The sequence below is a fragment of the Homo sapiens genome, chromosome 3 (genome assembly GCF_000001405.40).
Source record: "Homo sapiens chromosome 3, GRCh38.p14 Primary Assembly".
NCBI classification, from domain to species: Eukaryota; Metazoa; Chordata; class Mammalia; order Primates; family Hominidae; genus Homo; species Homo sapiens.
In genome coordinates this window covers 121,087,501-121,107,351 of record NC_000003.12, presented here as the reverse complement: position 1 = coordinate 121,107,351, position 19,851 = coordinate 121,087,501, and the positions used below count along the sequence as shown (strand labels likewise).

General features: G+C 37.8%; 1 protein-coding gene and 1 pseudogene across 14 annotated transcripts in view, besides 2 other annotated features; both read right to left on the bottom strand.

The window, feature by feature from the left end:
* The window catches only part of STXBP5L (syntaxin binding protein 5L), a 516,557-nt gene that overhangs the window by 317,410 nt on the left and 179,296 nt on the right, over positions 1 to 19,851 (bottom strand). The window lies entirely within an intron of this gene.
* On the bottom strand, positions 7,445 to 8,244 carry LOC100419755 (zinc finger protein 426 pseudogene; annotated as a pseudogene).
* Positions 9,554 to 10,054: an enhancer, noted in NCBI's record as "H3K27ac hESC enhancer chr3:120816145-120816645 (GRCh37/hg19 assembly coordinates)". NCBI's record gives its function as "activates a minimal SCP1, AML or CMV promoter by ChIP-STARR-seq in primed H9 embryonic stem cells {active_cell/tissue: H9 hESC(primed)}" and the evidence as "EXISTENCE:reporter gene assay evidence [ECO:0000049][PMID:30033119]".
* Positions 10,055 to 10,555: an enhancer, noted in NCBI's record as "H3K27ac hESC enhancer chr3:120815644-120816144 (GRCh37/hg19 assembly coordinates)". NCBI's record gives its function as "activates a minimal SCP1, AML or CMV promoter by ChIP-STARR-seq in primed H9 embryonic stem cells {active_cell/tissue: H9 hESC(primed)}" and the evidence as "EXISTENCE:reporter gene assay evidence [ECO:0000049][PMID:30033119]".

Sequence of the window (19,851 nt, the reverse complement as noted above, 5' to 3'; positions counted from 1 at the left end):
AACCCCAAACTATAAAAACTCTGGAAGAAAATCTAGGCAATACCATTCAGGACATAGGCACGGGCAAAGATTTCATGATGAAAACATCAAAAGCAATTGCAACAAAAGCAAAAATTAACAAACGGGATCTAATTAAGCTAAAGAGCTTCTGCCCAGCAAAAGAAACTAATGGGAGAAAATTTTTGCAATCTATCCATCTGACAAAGGTCTAACATCCAGAATCTACAAGGAATTTAAACAAATTTACAAGAAAAAAAAAACAAAGAATCCATTAAAAAGTGGGCAAAGACATGAACAGAAACTTCTCCAAAGATAACATCCATGCGTCCAAAAAACATGAAAAAAAGTTCAATATCACTGATCATTACAGAAATGCAAATCAAAACCACAATGTAATACCATCTCACTTCAGTCAGAATGGTGATCATTAAAAAGTCAAGAAACAACAGATGCTGGCGAGGCTGTGGAGAAATAAGAATGCTTTTATACTGTTGGTGGGAATGTAAATTAGTTCAACCATTGTGGAAGACAGTGTGACAATTCCTCAAAGACCTACAACCAGAAATACTATTTGACCCAGCAATCCCATTACTGGGTATATACCCAGAGGAATATAAATCATTCTATCATGAAGATATATACATGCATATGTTCATTACAGCACTATTCATTATACCAAAGACATGGAATCAACCCAAATGCCCATCAATGATAGTCTGGATAAAGAAAATATGATACATATACACCATGGAATACTATGCAGCCAAAAAAGAATGAGATCATGATCTTTGCAGGGACAAGGATGGAGCTCAAAGCCATTATCCTCAGCAAACTAACACAGGAACAGAAAACCAAACACCGCATGTTCTCACTTATTAAGTAGGAGCTGAACAATGAGAATACATGGGGAACAACACACACTGGGGCCTGTTGGCGGAGGTTGGGAGGGAGGGAAAGTGTCATAATAAATAGCTAATGCATGTAGGGCTCAATACCGATGTGATGGGTTTGTTAGGTGCAGCAAACCACCATGACACATGTTTACATATGTTAACAAACCTGGATGTCCTTCACATGTATCCCAGAACTTTAAATTAAATTTTTAAAAATGTATTGTCCCAGATTATACACACACATCCGTTTTTCTTCAAATCATACTATCTAACAGGAGAGACAAAACAAGCAGACAAGTAAGAAAAATAAAACTAAAATGTAATAATTTCTATAGACTCCAAAGAAGGAAGAGATTAATTACAGTAAGAAAAATCAAGAAAAGCTAATGTAGAGAGTTGTGTTTCAATTGGGCCATTAATGATCAAAACACAAAATAAATAAATTTTTCTCACTTTGAAAAATGGGCAGACCTTTGAATTTGTTTATATTCTTTACTTTTGACTTACTCTTAGAAATTTTACTTAGGTATAAAAACAAAATAAAATATAAATTTTTCACACTTATGGCTCTTTACACACATAAAACAAAAATTCCAAATTAATTACAAAAAACTACAACCAGAATTTAAATCAATATTAATTAATGTGACGTTGAATTTTTTTTACAGAAATAAAATAACCTCAAAATATGAATATGGTTCTAACTGCACAGGTTCTATTGAGTTTCATGTGTCCATACTTAGTTTGTACCTTTTCACTATATTTATCTATTCTAACAGCTTTTTTTTAAATCAAAAGTTATTTAAGGAATCTCCATACTGTTTACCAGAGTGGTTGTAGTAGTTTACATTCCCACCAACAGTGTAGAAGTGTTTCCTTTTCACCACATCCACGCCAACGCCTATTCTTTTTATTTTTTAATTGTGGCCATTATTGCAGGAGTAAGGTGGCATCACATTGTGGTTTTGATTTGCATTTCCCTGATAATTAGTGATGTTGATCATTTTTTCATGTTTCTTGGCCACTTGTACATCTTTTTATTTATTTATTTATTTATTTATTTTGAGACAGAGTCTCACTCTGTTGCCAGGCTGGAGTGCAGCGGCGTGATCTCGGCTCACTGCAACCTCTGCCTCCCAGGTTCAAGCGATTCTCCTGCCTCAGCCTCCCAAGTAGCTGGAACTACAGGAGCACGCCACCACACCCAGCTAATTTTTGTATTTTTAGTAGAGATGGGCTTTCACCATGTTGGCCAGGATGGTCTCCATCTCTTGACCTCGTGATACACCCACCTCGGCTTCCTAAAGTGCTGTGATTATAGGCATGAGCCACTGTGCCCAGTCCACTTGTACATCTTTTGAGAACTGTCTATTCATGTCCTTAGCCCACTTTTTGATGGGATTATTTGTTTTTATTTTTTTTCTTGCTGATTTGTTTGAGTTTATTGTAAATTCTGGATATAGTCCGTTGTCAGATGCATAGGTTGCCAAGATTTTCTCCCACTCTGTGGGTTGCCTGTTTACTCTGCTGATTTTTTCTTTTGCTGTGCAGAAGCTTTTTAGTTTAACTAAGTCCCATCTATTTATCTTTCTTTTTGTCGCATCTTGGTCATGAGCTCTTTGCCTACACCAATGTCTAGAAGAGTTTTTCCAATGATATCTTCTAGGATTTTTGTGGTTTCAGGTGTTAGATTTAAGTCTTTGATCCATCTTGAGTTGATTTTTGTATAAGGTGAGAGATGAGGATCCACTTTCATTCTCTATATGTGACTTGTCAATTATACCAGCACCACTTGTTGAATTGGGTGTTCTTTCCCACTTTATGTTTTTGTTTGGTTTGTCAAAGATCAGTTGGCTGTAAGTGTTTGGCTTTATTTTTGGGTTCCCTATTTAGTTCCATTTCCCTACATGCCTATTTTTATATCAGTACAATGCTGTTTTGTTAACTATAGTTTTGTAGTATAGTTTGAAGTCGGGTCATGTGATGCCTCCAGATTTGTTCTTTTTGCTTAGTCTTGCTTTGGTTATGCAGGCTCTTTTTTGGTTTCACATTAATTTTAGGATTGTTTTTTCTAGTTCTGTGAAGAATGATGATGGTATTTTAATGGGAATTGCATTGAATCTGTAGATTATTTTTGGCAGTGTGGTCATTTTCACAATATTGATTCTACCCATCCATGAGCATGAGATGTGTTTCTACTTGTTTGTATTCTATTATTTCTTGATTCTTTTGTCAGGATATTATTTGTTACCTACCATATAAGTTAAAATTATAACATTTTTATTATCTTGCCTGGATCAGGCAAGAAAAATATATGGTCAAAAGATTTCATGAGCAGTCATAAATTCATATGATGATTGACATATAGAAGATTTACTATTGTAATAAACACTTCACAGATACTATGTACCAGCATGTAGATGCTACAGACACATATCATCTGACACACTCATAGTCCTTCAGAAATTCATAATTAAAAATAATTTGACAGAACTGAATGATAAATATTTATTATTTTCGTTCACTTACGTAATACCCTGTCTGCAGTAAATACCCAAACATATTTCTTCACTAAAACTTAAGTGGCAAAACACTAAGAACTTTGTTTTGAAGACTGTTACTTAATTTTCTTTATCTGTTCTTAAAATAATCACCTAATCATCTAATTTTCTCTAACTTTTCTCTTAACCAACAGAAGTCATTTGTAATGCAAGCATTTTATGTCATATGTACTAAGCTTTATATTCTCTATACTGTCTTATCTTTTTATATATTCATATATGTTTATTTTGTGGTTTTTAAAAATAATTTCAACTTTTATTATAGATTCAGGAGGTACATGTATAGGTGTGCTGCATGGGTATATTGAGTGATGCTGAGGTAAGCACAGTACCCAACAGTCAATTCATTAACTCTTGCCCCCTAGTAGTCTCTAGTGTCTATTTTTGCCATCTTTTATCCAAGTACATCCAATGTTTAGCTCCGATGTATACTTGAGAACATGTGTTGTTTGGTTTTCTGTTCCTGTGTAAATTTTCTTAAGATAATGGCCTCCAGCTGCATCCAAATAGCTGCAAAGAACATGACTTCATTTTCTTTATGGCTGCATAATACTCTGTAGTGTATATGCACCAATTTTCTTCCTCCAATCCACTGTCAAGGGGCACCTGGGTTGATTCCATGTCTTTGATATTGTGAATAGTGCTGCAATGAACATACATGTGACATTTTGGTAGAACAATTTATTTTTCTATGGATATATACCCAGTAATGGGATTTCTGGGTCAAATGGTAGCTCAGTTTTGTTTGTGAAATCTCCAAACTGCTTTCCACAGTAGGTGAACTAGTAACATTCCCACCAAAGGTGTACAAACATTCCTTTTTCTCCACAGCTTTGCCAGCATTTGTGGTTTTTAGACTTTTTAATAATAGCCATTCTGATGGGTAGGAGATAATATCTCATTGTGGTTTTTGATTTGCATTTCTCTGATGATTAGTTATGTGGGGTATTTTTTCATTTTTGTTGAACACTTGTATGTCTTCTTTTGAGAAGTGTCTGTTAAGGTCTTTTGCCCAATTTTTAATGGGGTTATGTGTTTCTTGCTTGTTGAATTATCTAAGTACCTTATAGATCCTGGATATTTGACCTTTGTTTGATGCATAGTTTGTAAACATGTTCTACCATTCTGTAGTATATCTGTTTCTTCTGGTGACAGTTTATCTTGCTGTGCAGAAGTTCCTTAGTTTAATTAGGTCCCACTTGTCAATTTTTGATTTTGCTGTAATTGCTTTTGAAGACCTAGTCATAAATTCTTTCCCAAGGCCAATGTCCAGAATGATATTTCACAAGATTTCTAGGATTCTTATAGTTTGAGGTCTGATATTTAGAGCTTTAAACCCTCTTGAGTTAATTTTTGTGTATGGTAGAGGTCTAGTTCATTTTTCTGCATATGGGTAGCCAAGTATCACAGCACCATTTATTGAATAGGGAGTACTTTTCCCATTGGTTATTTTTGTTGACTTTGTCAAAGATCAGATGGCTGTAGGTGTGTGGCTTTATTTCTGGGTTCTCTATTCTGTTCCATTGGTCTATCTCTCTTTGTATACCTGTATGATGCTCTTTTGGTTACTGTACACTTACAGTAGTATAGTTTGAATCAGGTAATGTAATGTGTCTGGCTTTGTTCTTTTTGCTTAGGACTGATTTGGCTATTTGGGCTCTATTTTGGTTCCACATGAATTTATAATAGTTTTTTTCTAATTCTGTAAAGAATGACTCTGGTAGTTTGATAAGTATAGCATTGAATCTTTACATTGCTTTGGGAAGTATGGCCATTTTAACAATATTGTTCTTCCAATCCATAAGCATGAAATATTTTTCCATTTTTTTGTGTCACCTATGATTTCTTTCAGCTGTGTTTTGTGCTTCTCCTTAAAGAGATATTTCATATCTTGGGTTAGATGTATTCCTAGGTATTTTTTGCTTGTGACTATTGTATATGGGATTGTTTTCTTTGTTTGGTTTGCAGCTTGAACATTATTGGTAGATAGAAATGCTACTGACTTTGTATCCGGAAACTTTACTGAACTCATCAGTTCCACGAGCTTTTCAGTGGAGTCTTTAGGGTTTTCTAGGTATAGAATTATATCATCAGCAAAAAGACATAGTTTTTCTTCTTCTTTTCCTAGTTGGATGCCTTTTATTTCTTTCTTTTGCCTGATTGCTCTGGGTAGGACTTCCAGTACTATGTTGAATAAGAATGTTGAGAGTGAGCATCCTTGTCTCGTTCCAGTTCTCAAGGGGAATGCTTTCAGCTTTTGCCTGTTCAGTATGATATTGGCTATGTGTTTATCATAAATAGCTCTTACCATTCTATGGTATATATTCCTTCGTTGCCTAGTTTGTTGATGTTTCTTATTATGAAGAGATGTTAGATTTTATCAACAGCATTTTCTGTGTAAATTGAGATGATCATATGGTTTTTAAATCTTTTTATGTTGTGATTTATTGATTTGCATATGTTGAATCAACTTTGCATCCCAGGAATGAAGCCTAATTGATCATGGTGAATTAACTTTTTGTTGTGTTGTTGGATTCTTTTTCTTAGTATTCTGCTGAGGATTTTTGCATCTACGTTCATTGGGGATATTGGCCTGTATTGTCCTTTTTTCATTGTGTCTTTGCCAGGTTTTGGTATCAGTGTGATACTGGCTTCATAAAATGAGTAATAAAGGAGGTCCCTCTTCCCTGAATTTTGGAATAATATCAGAAGAACTGGAACCAGCTTTCTTTGTATGTCTGGTGGAATTTGACTGTGACTCCATCTTGTCTGGAGCTTTTTTTTTGTTTGGCAGATTTTTCACTACTGATTTAATTTTGGAACTTGATATTGGTCTGTTCAGGGTTTCAATTTCTTCCTGATTCATTCTTGGGAGGCTGTGCTTCCAGGGATTTATCCGTTTCCTCTAGATAACGTAGTTTGTGTGCATAGAGGTGTTCATAGCAGTCTTGGAGGATATTTTATGTTTTTGTGGGATCAGTTATAATGTCACCTTTGTTGCTTCTGATTGCTTATTTGGATCTTTCCTCTTTTTTTTCTTTGTTAATCTAGCTAGTGTTCTACCAATATTTATTCTTTCAAAGAACCAACTTTTTTTTTTTGTCGATATATTGTGTGGATTTTGGGGTCTTAATTTCATTTAGTTCTGCACTGATTTTAGTTCTTTCTTTTCCGATGCTAGCTTTAGGATTAGTTTGTTCTCGTTTTTCCACTTCCTCTAGATTTGATGTTAGATCATTAATTTGAGATCTTTATGACTTTTTGAGACAGGCATTTAGTACTATAAACTTTCCTCTTAACATTGCTTTTGTTGCATCCCAGAGATTTTAGTAAGTCATGTCTCTGTTTTCATTTATGTCAAATAATTTCTTTTATTTCTGCCTTAATTTCATTGTTTACCAAAAGTCAATCGGGAGCAAGTTTTTAAGATTTTCATGTAATTGTGTGGTAATAAAAGATCTTGGTATTGATTATTTTTATTCCACTGTTTTCTGAGAGTATGTTTGATATGATTTCAGTTTGTTTGAGTTTATTGAGACTTGTTTTATGGACCAGGATGTGGTCAAGTTTGGAGTATGTTCTGTGTGCAGAAGACAAGAGTGAGTATCCTATAGTTGATGGGTGGAGTATTATGTAGACATATATTAGTTTCAATTAGGTCAAGTGTTAAATTTAATCCAGAATTTCATTGTTAAGTTTTCTGCCTCAAGCATCTGTCTAACGCTGCCAATGGGGTTTTAAAGACCTCACTCTTATTGTGTAGCTGTCTAAGTCTTTTTATAGGTCTAGGGGTACTTGTTTTATAAATCTGGGTGCTCCAATTTGGGTGCATATATATTTGGGATAGTTAAATTTTCATGTCAAATTAACCCCTTTATCATTATGTAATGTCCTTCTTTATCCTTTTATACGGTTGTTGGTTTAAAGTCTGTTTTATCTGATATGAGAATAGGAACTACTTTTTTGTTTTCGATTTGTGTGACAGATATTTCTCCAACCCTTTCCTTTGAGCCTGTGGGTCCTGTTAGGTGTGCAATGGGTCTCTTGAAGACAGCAGAGAGATGAGTCTTGCTTTTTTCATCTACCTTGCCACTCTATGCCTTTTAAGTGGGGCATTTTTAAGGACTGCAAATACTTGAAAGCTTTTCCACATTCCTTAAATTTGCAGGGTTTTCTTGCAGATGCACAGCAAGGCTTGGAGTCAGGGTGAAGACTTTTGCAAACTAATTAAACTAAGGAAGCTCCTGTCCAATAGAGGTTTTCTTCTGCAGAGTATGGATGTCTTTTCTACACCAGTTACACTCAGAAGTGTTCCCTCTATTCTGAGCTCTCATGTGTGTCATATTGATTGATATTGGTCTGTTCAGGGTTTCAATTTCTTCCTGATTCATTCTTGGGCATAAGTGTTCACTGAAGTTTTCTCTACAATTCTTACAATCACAGAGTTCCCCTCTATTGTAGCTTCTTGAAGAACTCCACTCTGAACTGTCTTCAACTCTTTTTATTGTAACCAAGAGATCAGGCTGTGTATAAAGAGCTGAAATCTTACTGAGCCCAGGTGCTTGCAGTTCTCCAGTATCATGTATCTGCAGAGGTATCTCTGAATCATGTCCAGTAAAGTTCACTCCTCTGGGTGAACTCCATAGTCATATCATAAAAGTTCACTGAACCCTGATACCAATTTGGCAGACAGTCACCCACCAACCTTTCTATTATATCTTTGTCTTTTTCTCATAAAGGCAGATTGGTTCCCTGGTAAGGAAGCCACAGGACAAATCAATGGCTGCCATGCTGTGAGGCTGATGGTGAAATGTACCTGAATTCTCCCTTTATTGATACCAAGATCATTTTGGGGAAGCTTACGAATGTATATAGATAGAGGCAATCTCTATCTCTCTCTATATATACAGGGTTATTTGGAGTCCAGAATGCACCAGAATTGCAGGATCTGTGAGGTGGGAGGATGCTGGGGACCATGATAATGTGCCTGAAATGGAGAAAATTATTTTCTTTCTGGAAAAAAAAATTCACAATAACTTCCTTGGAGGCTTTTGAAGGGAGTAAAGTGGATGCTCCCTACAGACATGCCAATTATAAACTGGATTCCTTGTAGGGAACAATGGCCAGAGTGGTCTTTTGAACCTGGCCACATCAGGAGGACCCATCATCCTTGCAGATGCAAGTGGAGCAGGCCAGGCCAACCCTACAAAGGTATTCCCGACAAAACTTGAACTTTAGCATTCCATTCCACAGCTGAGCCACTTCATTTCTCTGGCCTCATAATACGGTTTGAGTGTGTGTCCCCTCCAAATCTCATGTTGAAATGTGATGTCTGATGTTGGAAATGGGTATAGTGTTTGGGTCATGGAGGCAGATCTCTCTGCCTTGATGACTAATCTTATAGAGTCAGAACTCACTCATTATCATGAGGACAGCACCACCATGGCATGGTACTGTCTTCACGATAATGAGGGAGTTCTTACCCTGTAAGTTCATATGAGACCTAGTTGTTTAAAAGAACCTGGCACCTCCTGCCTCTCTCTCTTGCTCCCTGTCTAACCACATGATACTCTGCTCCTCCTTCTCCTTCCACCATGATTGTAAGCTTTCAGAGGTGCTCACCAGAAGCAGATGCTGACATCCCACTTCCTGTACAGCCTGCAGTACTGTGAGCCAAAATACATATCCCCTTCTACTGAAAAAGGGCAGTCATCAAACAATCTCCACCAATTTTCAAACCAACTCTAAAAAACATATCAAGATATTAGATAATATAATGTGCTTTCCACATTTCTTGATATCAGTACCGTAGGTTGAACAGAAAATTATACTAATAGGGATACATAGAAAATTCTGCATTTTCATTTAAAAAACATCAACTGCTAAAGTATATGATTGAAAAACTGTTTAACAATGGTTAAAATAGAAAAAAAAATGGGAGTATTGCTTGGCTTTACGTTCAACGTAAACCAACAGTATAACCCCTCTATAACCAAGATTACAAAATTAAATGTAATCTTAAGTATAATATATTCAGTAATGGCATCCATTGTATTAGATCACATTTCAATTAGTTCCATTTGATATGCAACAAGCTTAAAAAATACTGGCAAACAAGGGGATAGCTGGCAAAATGGCCGAATAGGAACAGCTCTGGTCTGCAGTTCCCAGCGAGATCGACACAGAAGGTGGGTGATTTCTGCATTTCCAACTGAGGTACCCGGTTCATCTCACTGGGAATGGTTGGATGGTGGGTGCAGCTCACGGAGGGTGATCTGAAGCAGGGTGGGGCATCGCCTCACCCAGGAAGTGCAAGAAGTCGGGAAATTTTCTCCCCTAACCAAGGGAAGCCATGAGGGACTGAGCCTGAGGAAGGGTGCACACTCCAGCCCAGATACTGCATTTGTCCCATGGTCTTTGCAACCCCGCAGACCAGGAGGTTCCCTATGGTGCCTACCCCACCAGGGCCCTGGGTTTCGAGCACAAAACTGGGTGGCCATTAGGGAAAACACTGAACTAGCTGCAGGTGTTTTTCTTTCCATACCCCAGTGGCTCCTGGAATGCCAGCAAGACAGAACCGTTCACTCCCCTGGAAAGGGGTGCTGAAGTCAGGGAGCCAAGTGGTCTGGCTCGGTGGGTCCCACCCCCACTGGCTTGAAATTCTCACTGCCAACACAACAGCAGTCAGAGATCAACCTGGGACAATTGAGCTTGGTGTGGGGAGGGGCATCCACCACTGGTGCAGCTTGAGTAGCCAGTTTTAAGCTCACAGAGTAAACAAAGCAGCCAGGAAGTTTGAACTGGGCAGAGCTGAGCAAGGCTGCTGTGGCCAGACTGCCACATTTCTCCTCTCCGGGCAGGGCATCTCTGAAAAAAAGGCAGCAGCCCCCATAAGGGACATATAGACAAAACCCCCATGTCCCTGGGACAGAGCACCTCGGGGAAGGGGCTGCTGTGGGCACAACTTCAGCAGACTTAAACATCCCTGCCTGACAGCTCTGAAGAGAGCAGTGGACTCCCAGCAGAGTGTTTGAGCTATACTAACCATCAGACTGCCTGCTCAAGTGGATCCCTGACCTCCATACCTCCTGAATGGGAGACACCTCCCAGTAGGGGCTGACAGAAACCTCATACAGGAGAGCTCTGGCTGGCAACTGGTAGGTTCCCCTCTGGGACAAAGATTCCAGAGGAAAAAACAGGCTTTTTTTTTTCTTTCGCTGTTATGCAGCCGCCCCTGGTTATACCCAGGCAAATAGCGTCTGTAGTGGACCTCCAGCAAACTCCAGCCAACCTGCAGCAGAGGGGCCTGACTGTTGGAAGAAAAACTAACAAACAGAAACGAATAGCACATCCACTCAAAGACCCCATCAGAAGGTAACCAAAATCAAGGACCAAAAGTAGATAAATCCATGAAGATGGGGAGAAACCAGTGCAAAGTGGCTGAAAATTCCAAAAACCAGAACACCTCTTCTCCACGAAAGAATCACAGTGTCTCGCCAGCAACAGAATAAAACTAGATGGAGAATGAGTTTGATTAACTGACAAAAGTAGGCTTCAGAAAGTGGGTAACAACAAACTCCTCCAGGCTAAAGGAGCATATTCTAACCCAATGCAAGCAAGCTAAGAAGCGTGAAGAAAGGTTAGAGGAGGAGGTGGTTCCAAGATAGCCAAATATGAACAGCTCCAGTCCACAACTCCCAGCATGAGTGATGCAGAAGATGGGTGATTTCTGCACTTCCAACTGAGGTACCGGGTTCATCTCACTGGGGATTGTCAGACAGTGGGGGGCAGGATAGTGGGTACAGCCCACCAAGCAAGAGCCGAAGCAAGGTGAGGCATCGCCTCACCCAGGAAGCACAAGGGGTCAGGGAATTGCACTTCCTAGCCCAGAGAAGCGGTGACAGACACTAACAAAAAGAAAGGACAACCACACCAAAACCCCATCTGTACGTCACCATCATTGAAGACCAAAGGTAGATAAAATCACAAAGATGGGGAAAAAACAGAGGGGAAAAGCTAAATATTCTAAAAATCACAGTGCCTCTCCCCCTCCAAAGGAACACAGTTCCTCACCAGCAACAGAACAAAGCTGGATGGAGAATGACTTTGACGAGTTGAGAGAAGAAGGCTTCAGACGATCAAACTTCTCCGAGCTAAAGGAGGAAGTTCGAACCCATCGCAAAGAAGTTAAAAACCTTGAAAAAAGAATAGACGAATGGCTAACTAGAATAACCAATGTACAGAAGTCCTTAAATGACCTGATGGAGCTAAAAACCATGGCATGAGAACTATATGATGAATGCACAAGCTTCAGTAGCCGATTCGATCAGCTGGAAGAAAGGTTATCAGTGATTGAAGACCAAATGAATGAAATGAAGCGAGAAGAGAAGGTTAGAGAAAAAAGAGTAAAAAGAAATGAACAAAGCCTCCAAGAAATATGGGACTATGTTTAAAGATCAAATCCACATCTGATTGGTGTAACTGAAAGTGACGGGGAGCATGGAACCACGTTGGAAAACACTCTGCAGGTTATTATCCAAGAGAACTTCCCCAACCTAGAAGGACAGGCCAACATTCAAATTCAGGAAATACAGAGAATGCCACAAAGATACTCCTCGAGAAGAGCAACTCCAAGACACATAAGTGTCAGATTCACCAAAGTTGAAATGAAGGAAAAAATGTTAAGGCAGCCAGAGAGAGAGGTCGGGTTACCCACAAAGGGAAGCTCGTCAGACTAACAGCGGATCTCTCGGCAGAAACTCTACAAGCCAGAAGACACTGGGGGCCAATATTCAACATTCTTAAAGAAAAGAATTTTCAACCCAGAATTTCATATCCAGCCAAACTAAGCTTCATAAGTGAGGCTTTACAGACAATGCTTTACAGATATGCTTTACAGACAAGCAAATGCTGAGAGATTTTGTCACCACCAGGCCTGCCCTAAAAGAGCTCCTGAAGGAAGCACTAAACATGGAGAGGAACAACCAGTACCAGCCGCTGCAAAATCATGCCAAAATGTAAAGACCATCGAGACTAGGAAGAAACTGCATCAACTAACGAGCAAAATAACCACCTAACATCATAATGAAAGGTTCAAATTCACACATAACAATATTAACTTTCAATGTAAATGGACTACATGCTCCAATTAAAAGACACAGACTGGCAAATTGGATAAGGAGTCAAGACCCATCAGTGTGTTGTATTCAGGAAAACCATCTCACGTGCAGAGACACACATAGGCTCAAAATAAAAGGATGGAGGAAGATCTACCAAGCAAATGGAAAACAAAAAAAGGCAGGGGTTGCAATCCTAGTCTCTGATAAAACAGACTTTAAACCAACAAAGATCAAAAGGGACAAAGAAGGCCATTACATAATGGTAAAGGGACTAATTCAACAAGAAGAGCTAACTATCCTAAATATATATGCACCCAATACAGGAGCACCCAGACTCATAAAGCAAGTCCTGAGTGACCTATAAAGAGACTTAGACTCCCACACAATAATAATGGGAGACTTTAACACCCCACTGTCAACATTAGACAGATCAACGAGACAGAAAGTCGACAAGGATACCCAGGAATTGGACTCAGCTCTGCACCAAGCGGACCTAATAGACATCTACAGAACTCTCCACCCCAAATCAACAGAATATACATTTTTTTCAGCACCACATCACACCTATTCCAAAATTGACCACATAGTTGGAAGTAAAGCTCTCCTCAGCAAATGTAAAAGAACAGAAATTATAACAAACTGTCTCTCAGACCACAGTGCAATCAAACTAGAACTCAGGATTAAGACACTCACTCAAAACCGCTCAACTACATGAAAATTGAACAACCTGCTCCTGAATGACTACTGGGCACATAACAAAATGAAGGCAGAAATAAAGATGTTCTTTGAAACCAACGAGAACAAAGACACAACGTACCAGAATCTCCGGGACACATTTAAAGCAGTGTGTAGAGGGAAATGTATAGCACTAAATGCCCACAAGAGAAAGCAGGAAAGATCCAAAATTGACACCCTAACATCACAATTAAAAGAACTAGAAAAGAAAGAGCAAACACATTCAAAAGCTAGCAGAAGGCAAGAAATAACTAAAATCAGAACAGAACTTAAGGAAATAGAGACACAAAAAACCCTTCAAAAATTAATGAATCCAGGAGCTGGTTTTTTGAAAGGATCAACAAAATTGATAGACGGCTAGCAAGACTAATAAAGAAAAAAAGAGAGAAGAATCAAATAGAAGCAAGAAAAAATGATAAAGGGGATATCACCACTGATCCCACAGAAATATAAACTACCATCAGCGAATACTACAAACAGCTCTACGCAAATAAACTAGAAAATCTAGAAGAAATGGATAAATTCCTCGACACATATACCCTCCCAAGACTAAACCAGGAAGAAGTTGAATCTCTGAATAGACCAATAACAGGAGCTGAAATTGTGGCAATAATCAATAGCTTACCAACCAAAAAGAGTCCAGGACCAGATGGATTCACAGCCGAATTCTATCAGAGGTACAAGGAGGAACTGGTACCATTCCTTCTGAAACTATTCCAATCAATAGAAAAAGAGGGAATCCTCCCTAACTCATTTTATGAGGCCAGCATCATCCTGATACCAAAGCCGGGCAGAGACAAAACCAAAAAAGAGAATTTTAGACCAATGTCCTTGATGAACATTGATGCAAAAATCCTCAATAAAATACTGGCAAACCGAATCCAGCAGCACATTAAAAAGCTTCTCCACCATGATCAAATGGGCTTCATCCCTGGGATGCAAGGCTGGTTCGATATATGCAAATCAATAAATGTAATCCAGCATATAAACAGAACCAAAGGCAAAAACCACATGATTATCTCAATAGCTGCAGAAAAGGCCTTTGACAAAATTCAACAACTCTTCATGCTAAAAACTCTCAATAAATTAGGTATTGATGGGACATATCTCAAAACAATAACAGCTATCTATGACAAACCCACAGCCAATATCATACTGAATGGGCAAATACTGGAAGCATTCCCTTTGAAAACTGGCACAAGACAGGGATGCCCTCTCTCACCACTCCTATTCAACATGGTGTTGGAAGTTCTGGCCAGGGCAATTAGACAGGAGAAGGAAATAAAGGGTATTCAATTAGGAAAAGAGAAAGTCAAATTGTCCCTGTTTGCAGATGACATGATTGTGTATCTAGAAAACCCCACTGTCTCAGCCCAAAATCTCCTTAAGCTGATAAGCAACTTCAGCAAAGTCTCAGGATGCAAAATCAATGTACAAAAATCACAAGCATTCTTATACACCAATAACAGACAAACAGAGAGCCAAATCATGAATGAACTCCCATTCCCAATTGCTTCAAAGAGAATAAAATACCTAGGAATCCAACTTACAAGGGACGTGAAGGACCTCTTCAAGGAGAACTACAAACCACTGCTCAATGAACTTAAAGAGGATACAAACAAATGGAAGAACATTCCATGCTCATGGGTAGGAAGAATCAATATCGTGAAAATGGCCATACTGCCCAAGGTAATTTATAGATTCAATGCCATCCCCATCAAGCTACCAATGACTTTCATCACAGAATTGGAAAACACTACTTTAAAGTTCATATGGAACCAAGAAAGAGCCCGCATTGCCAAGTCAGTCCTAAGCCAAAAGAACAAAGCTGGAGGCATCATGCTACCTGACTTCAAACTATACTACAAGGCTACAGTAACCAAAACAGCATGGTACTGGTACCAAAACAGAGATATAGACCAATAGAACAGAGCCCTCAGAAATAACGCTGCATATCTACAACTATCTGATCTTTGACAAACCCGAGAAAAACAAGCAATGGGGAAAGTATTCCCTATTTAATAAACGGTGCTGGGAAAACAGGCTAGCCATATGTAGAAAGCTGAAACTGGATCCCTTCCTTACACCTTATACAAAAATTAATTCAAGATGAATTAAAGACTTAAATGTTAGACCTAAAACCATAAAGATCCTAGAAGAAAACCTAGGCATTACCATTCAGGACATAGGCATGGGCAAGGACTTCATGTCTAAAACACCAAAAGCAATGGCAATAAAAGACAAAATTGACAAATGGGATCTAATTAAACTAAAGAGCTTCTGCACAGCAAAGGAAACTACCATCAGAGTGAACAGGCAACCTACAACATGGGAGAAAATTTTCGCAACCTACTCATCTGACAAAGGGCTAATATCCAGAATCTATGATGAACTCAAACAAATTTACAAGAAAAAAACAACCCCATCAAAAAGTGGGCGAAGGACATGAACATACACTTCTCAAAAGAAGACATTTATGCAGCCAAAAAACACATGAAAAAATGCTCACCATCACTGGCCATCAGAGAAATGCAAATCAAAACTGCAATGAGATATCATCTCACACCAGTTAGAATGGCAATCATTAAAAAGTCAGGGAACAACAGGTGCTGGAGAGGATGTGGAGAAATAGGAACACTTTTACACTGTTGGTGGGACTGTAAACTAGTTCAACCATTGTGGAAGTCAGTGTGGCGATTCCTCAGGGTTCTAAAACTAGAAATACCATTTGACCCAGCCATCCCATTACTGGGTATATACCCAAAGGACTATAAATCATGCTGCTATAAAGACACATGCACATGTATGCTTATTGTGGCACTATTCACAATAGCAAGGACTTGGAACCAATCCAAATGTCCATCAATGATAGACTGGATTAAGAAAATGTGGCACATATACACCATGGAATACTATGCAGCCATAAAAAATGATGAGTTCATGTCCTTTGTAGGGACATGGATGAAATTGGAAAGCATCATTCTCAGTAAACTATCACAAGAACAAAAAACCACACACCGCATATTCTCACTCATAGGTGGGAATTGAACAATGAGAACACATGGACACAGGAAGGGGAACATCACATTCTGGGGACTGTTGTGGGGTGGGGGGAGGGGGGAGGGATAGCACTGGGAGATATACCTAATGCTAGATGACACGTTAGTGGGTGCAGCACACCAGCATGTCACATGTATACATATGTAACTAACCTGCACGTTGTGCACATGTACCCTAAAACTTAAAGTATAATAATAAAAAAATAAAAAATAAAAAAAATTCATACCATCTGAGGCACTAATTGTGTCCCCATGAAGTAAAGCTAAACTGTACATGATCAACAATGTTATTAGTACAAATAAATGACCAAAAATGATTACTCTTAGGTACAAAAATTTTTAGACAATTCAGATCTGTATATACCTCCTTTAGAGACTTTAAAATATTTTAATCATAATTAACTAAACTCATTCCCTTTCTGTTCCACAGGAGCAAAAGCCATGATTTCTGGCAGAGGTATGGAAGTCTATTTTCATGCTCCTGAACAACAGAAATAATATTTTCTACATCTATATGGATAAAATATTTCAATTTCTGAATGAGAATTGGGTTAGTAGAATCCATTTGAGGAGCAGTAAGGAGGTACTCTTATTCTTCCTTGTAAGAGGGGTAAAAGAGGAGGCATAGTGGAGAGCCAAAAATCCCACCCCACCCAGCAGCTACAAGGTGTCTCTCCCTATCTAAGATGTCAGTGAGTTTAAATGGAGCACCTGAACTTCAATTCCCACCTATCATTAATAACACAACATCTGACCTTCCCCTGCCAGACCAATGTCAAATACAACCACCTAAAAAAGGGGTTTAAATAAAAACTGAAACCTCATAACAATGCCTGGAATGTCCAGGTTTTAATTTAAAAATCACTTATTATAATAGGAAATAGAAAAACCTCAATTTGAATGAAAAAAGGCAATAGTTACTAGCAGCAAGATGACATAGATATTAGAATTTGCTAACAAATATTTAAAAGAAGTAATCATGAAAAGGTTTCAACAAGTACAGACACATATGAAACAAATAAAAATATAAAGTATAAGCAAAGAAAAAGTAAGTAAAAAGAACCAATTACAAATTTTACTACTTAAAATATAATGAAGAAAATTTAAAATTCTGTGGATAAGCTAAACACCAGAATAACAAGGACAGACATAAGAGCCAGTGGCCTAGAGGATGTAATAATATTTATTCACCAATCTGAAAAAACAAATAATATAAGTAAAAAAATACCAGAGCTTCAGAAACCTATGGGACAAAACCAATAGATCTATCAATCATATTATCAGGATAACGGAATGAAAGGAAAAGAGGATGAGACTGAAAAAGCAGTTGAATAAACAATGGCTAAAAAATGCAAGAAGCTGAGCAAAACTAAACGGAATAAACCCAGAGAAATAAACAGTCAGACAAATCACAGCCAATTATCTGAGATAAAAACAAGGAAGAAAAGAAAAAAAAAATCTTTAAAGCAGCAAGAGAAAAAACAACACCTTAACTATGGGAGAAAATTTCCAATGACAGTAGATTTCTCATCAGAAACCACAGAGACCAGGAGGAAGTAGAATGCTATTCAGGTGTATAAAATGAAAAACAAAGAAAAACTACCAACCTAGAATTCTATATTAAGCAAAATTATCCCTCAGGTATGAAGAAATTATGACATTATCAGGTAAAGGAAAACTAAAAATTTTTTCTTTAAAAGACCAATAAAAAATTGCTTTATGGAGTTTTCTAAACAGAAAAATATCTAATAGAAGAAACTTTTAAAAATCAAGTATGGGAAAAAAGAGACAGTAAAAATATAATAAATGTACTATGTATATACTAAGTGTATTTATATATTTTTTTCCTTCTCCTCTTGGAGCTTCTTTTTTTTTTTTTTTTTTTTTTTTTTATTATACTCTAAGTTTTAGGGTACATGTGCACATTGTGCAGGTTAGTTACATAGGTATACATGTGCCATGCTGGTGTGCTGCACCCACTAACGTGTCATCTAGCATTAGGTATATCTCCCAATGCTATCCCTCCCCCCTCCCCCGACCCCACCACAGTCCCCAGAGTGTGATATTCCCCTTCCTGTGTCCATGTGATCTCATTGTTCAATTCCCACCTATGAGTGAGAATATGCGGTGTTTGGTTTTTTGTTCTTGCGATAGTTTACTGAGAATGATGGTTTCCAATTTCATCCATGTCCCTACAAAGGACATGAACTCATCATTTTTTATGGCTGCATAGTATTCCATGGTGTATATGTGCCACATTTTCTTCATCCAGTCTATCATTGTTGGACATTTGGGTTGGTTCCAAGTCTTTGCTATTGTGAATAGTGCCGCAATAAACATACGTGTGCATGTGTCTTTATAGCAGCATGATTTATAGTCCTTTGGGTATATACCCAGTAATGGGATGGCTGGGTCAAATGGTATTTCTAGTTCTAGATCCCTGAGGAATCGCCACACTGACTTCCACAATGGTTGAACTAGTTTACAGTCCCACCAACAGTGTAAAAGTGTTCCTATTTCTCCACATCCTCTCCAGCACCTGTTGTTTCCTGATTTTTTAATGATTGCCATTCTAACTGGTGTGAGATGATATCTCATAGTGGTTTTGATTTGCATTTCTCTGATGGCCAGTGATGATGAGCATTTCTTCATGTGTTTTTTGGCTGCATAAATGTCTTCTTTTGAGAAGTGTCTGTTCATGTCCTTCGCCCACTTTTTGATGGGGTTGTTTGTTTTTTTCTTGTAAATTTGTTTGAGTTCATTGTAGATTCTGGATATTAGCCCTTTGTCAGATGAGTAGGTTGCGAAAATTTTCTCCCATGTTGTAGTTTGCCTGTTCACTCTGATGGTAGTTTCTTTTGCTGTGCAGAAGCTCTTTAGTTTAATTAGATCCCATTTGTCAATTTTGGCTTTTGTTGCCGGAGCTTCTAAATTATATTTGATGGTTAAAGCTGAAATAACATAGTCTGATGTGGTTCATAATATATATAGGGAAAAACAATAAAATTTATTATAAATGAGAGAAGTAAAGGGAAGTAAAGAAAGGAAAAGTCTCTGCATTTCATTCAAACTGGTAATTTGTAGCAGCAGTAGATTCCAGTAAGTTGTTTGTATATAATAAAATACCTATAGCAACCTCTTTAAAAAGTGATACAAAGAAATACACTAAAATTAACTAATAATAAGTCAAAATGGAATTCTAAAAAGTGTTCAATTAAACCACAGAAAGGCAAGGGGAAAAAAGCAGAGCAATAACAAATAGAACAACCAAAAAACAAAAAATAAAATGGAGAACCTAAGCCCTAATATATCAATAATTATATCTAATGTAAACATTAATTAAAATATATAGACTGACAGAATGAATTAAAAACCATGACCCAACTATACGCTTGTCTATAAGAAATACACTTTGAATATATTAACATAGCTAACTTTAAAGTATAAGAATAGACAAAGATATATCGTGCAAACATGAATCACT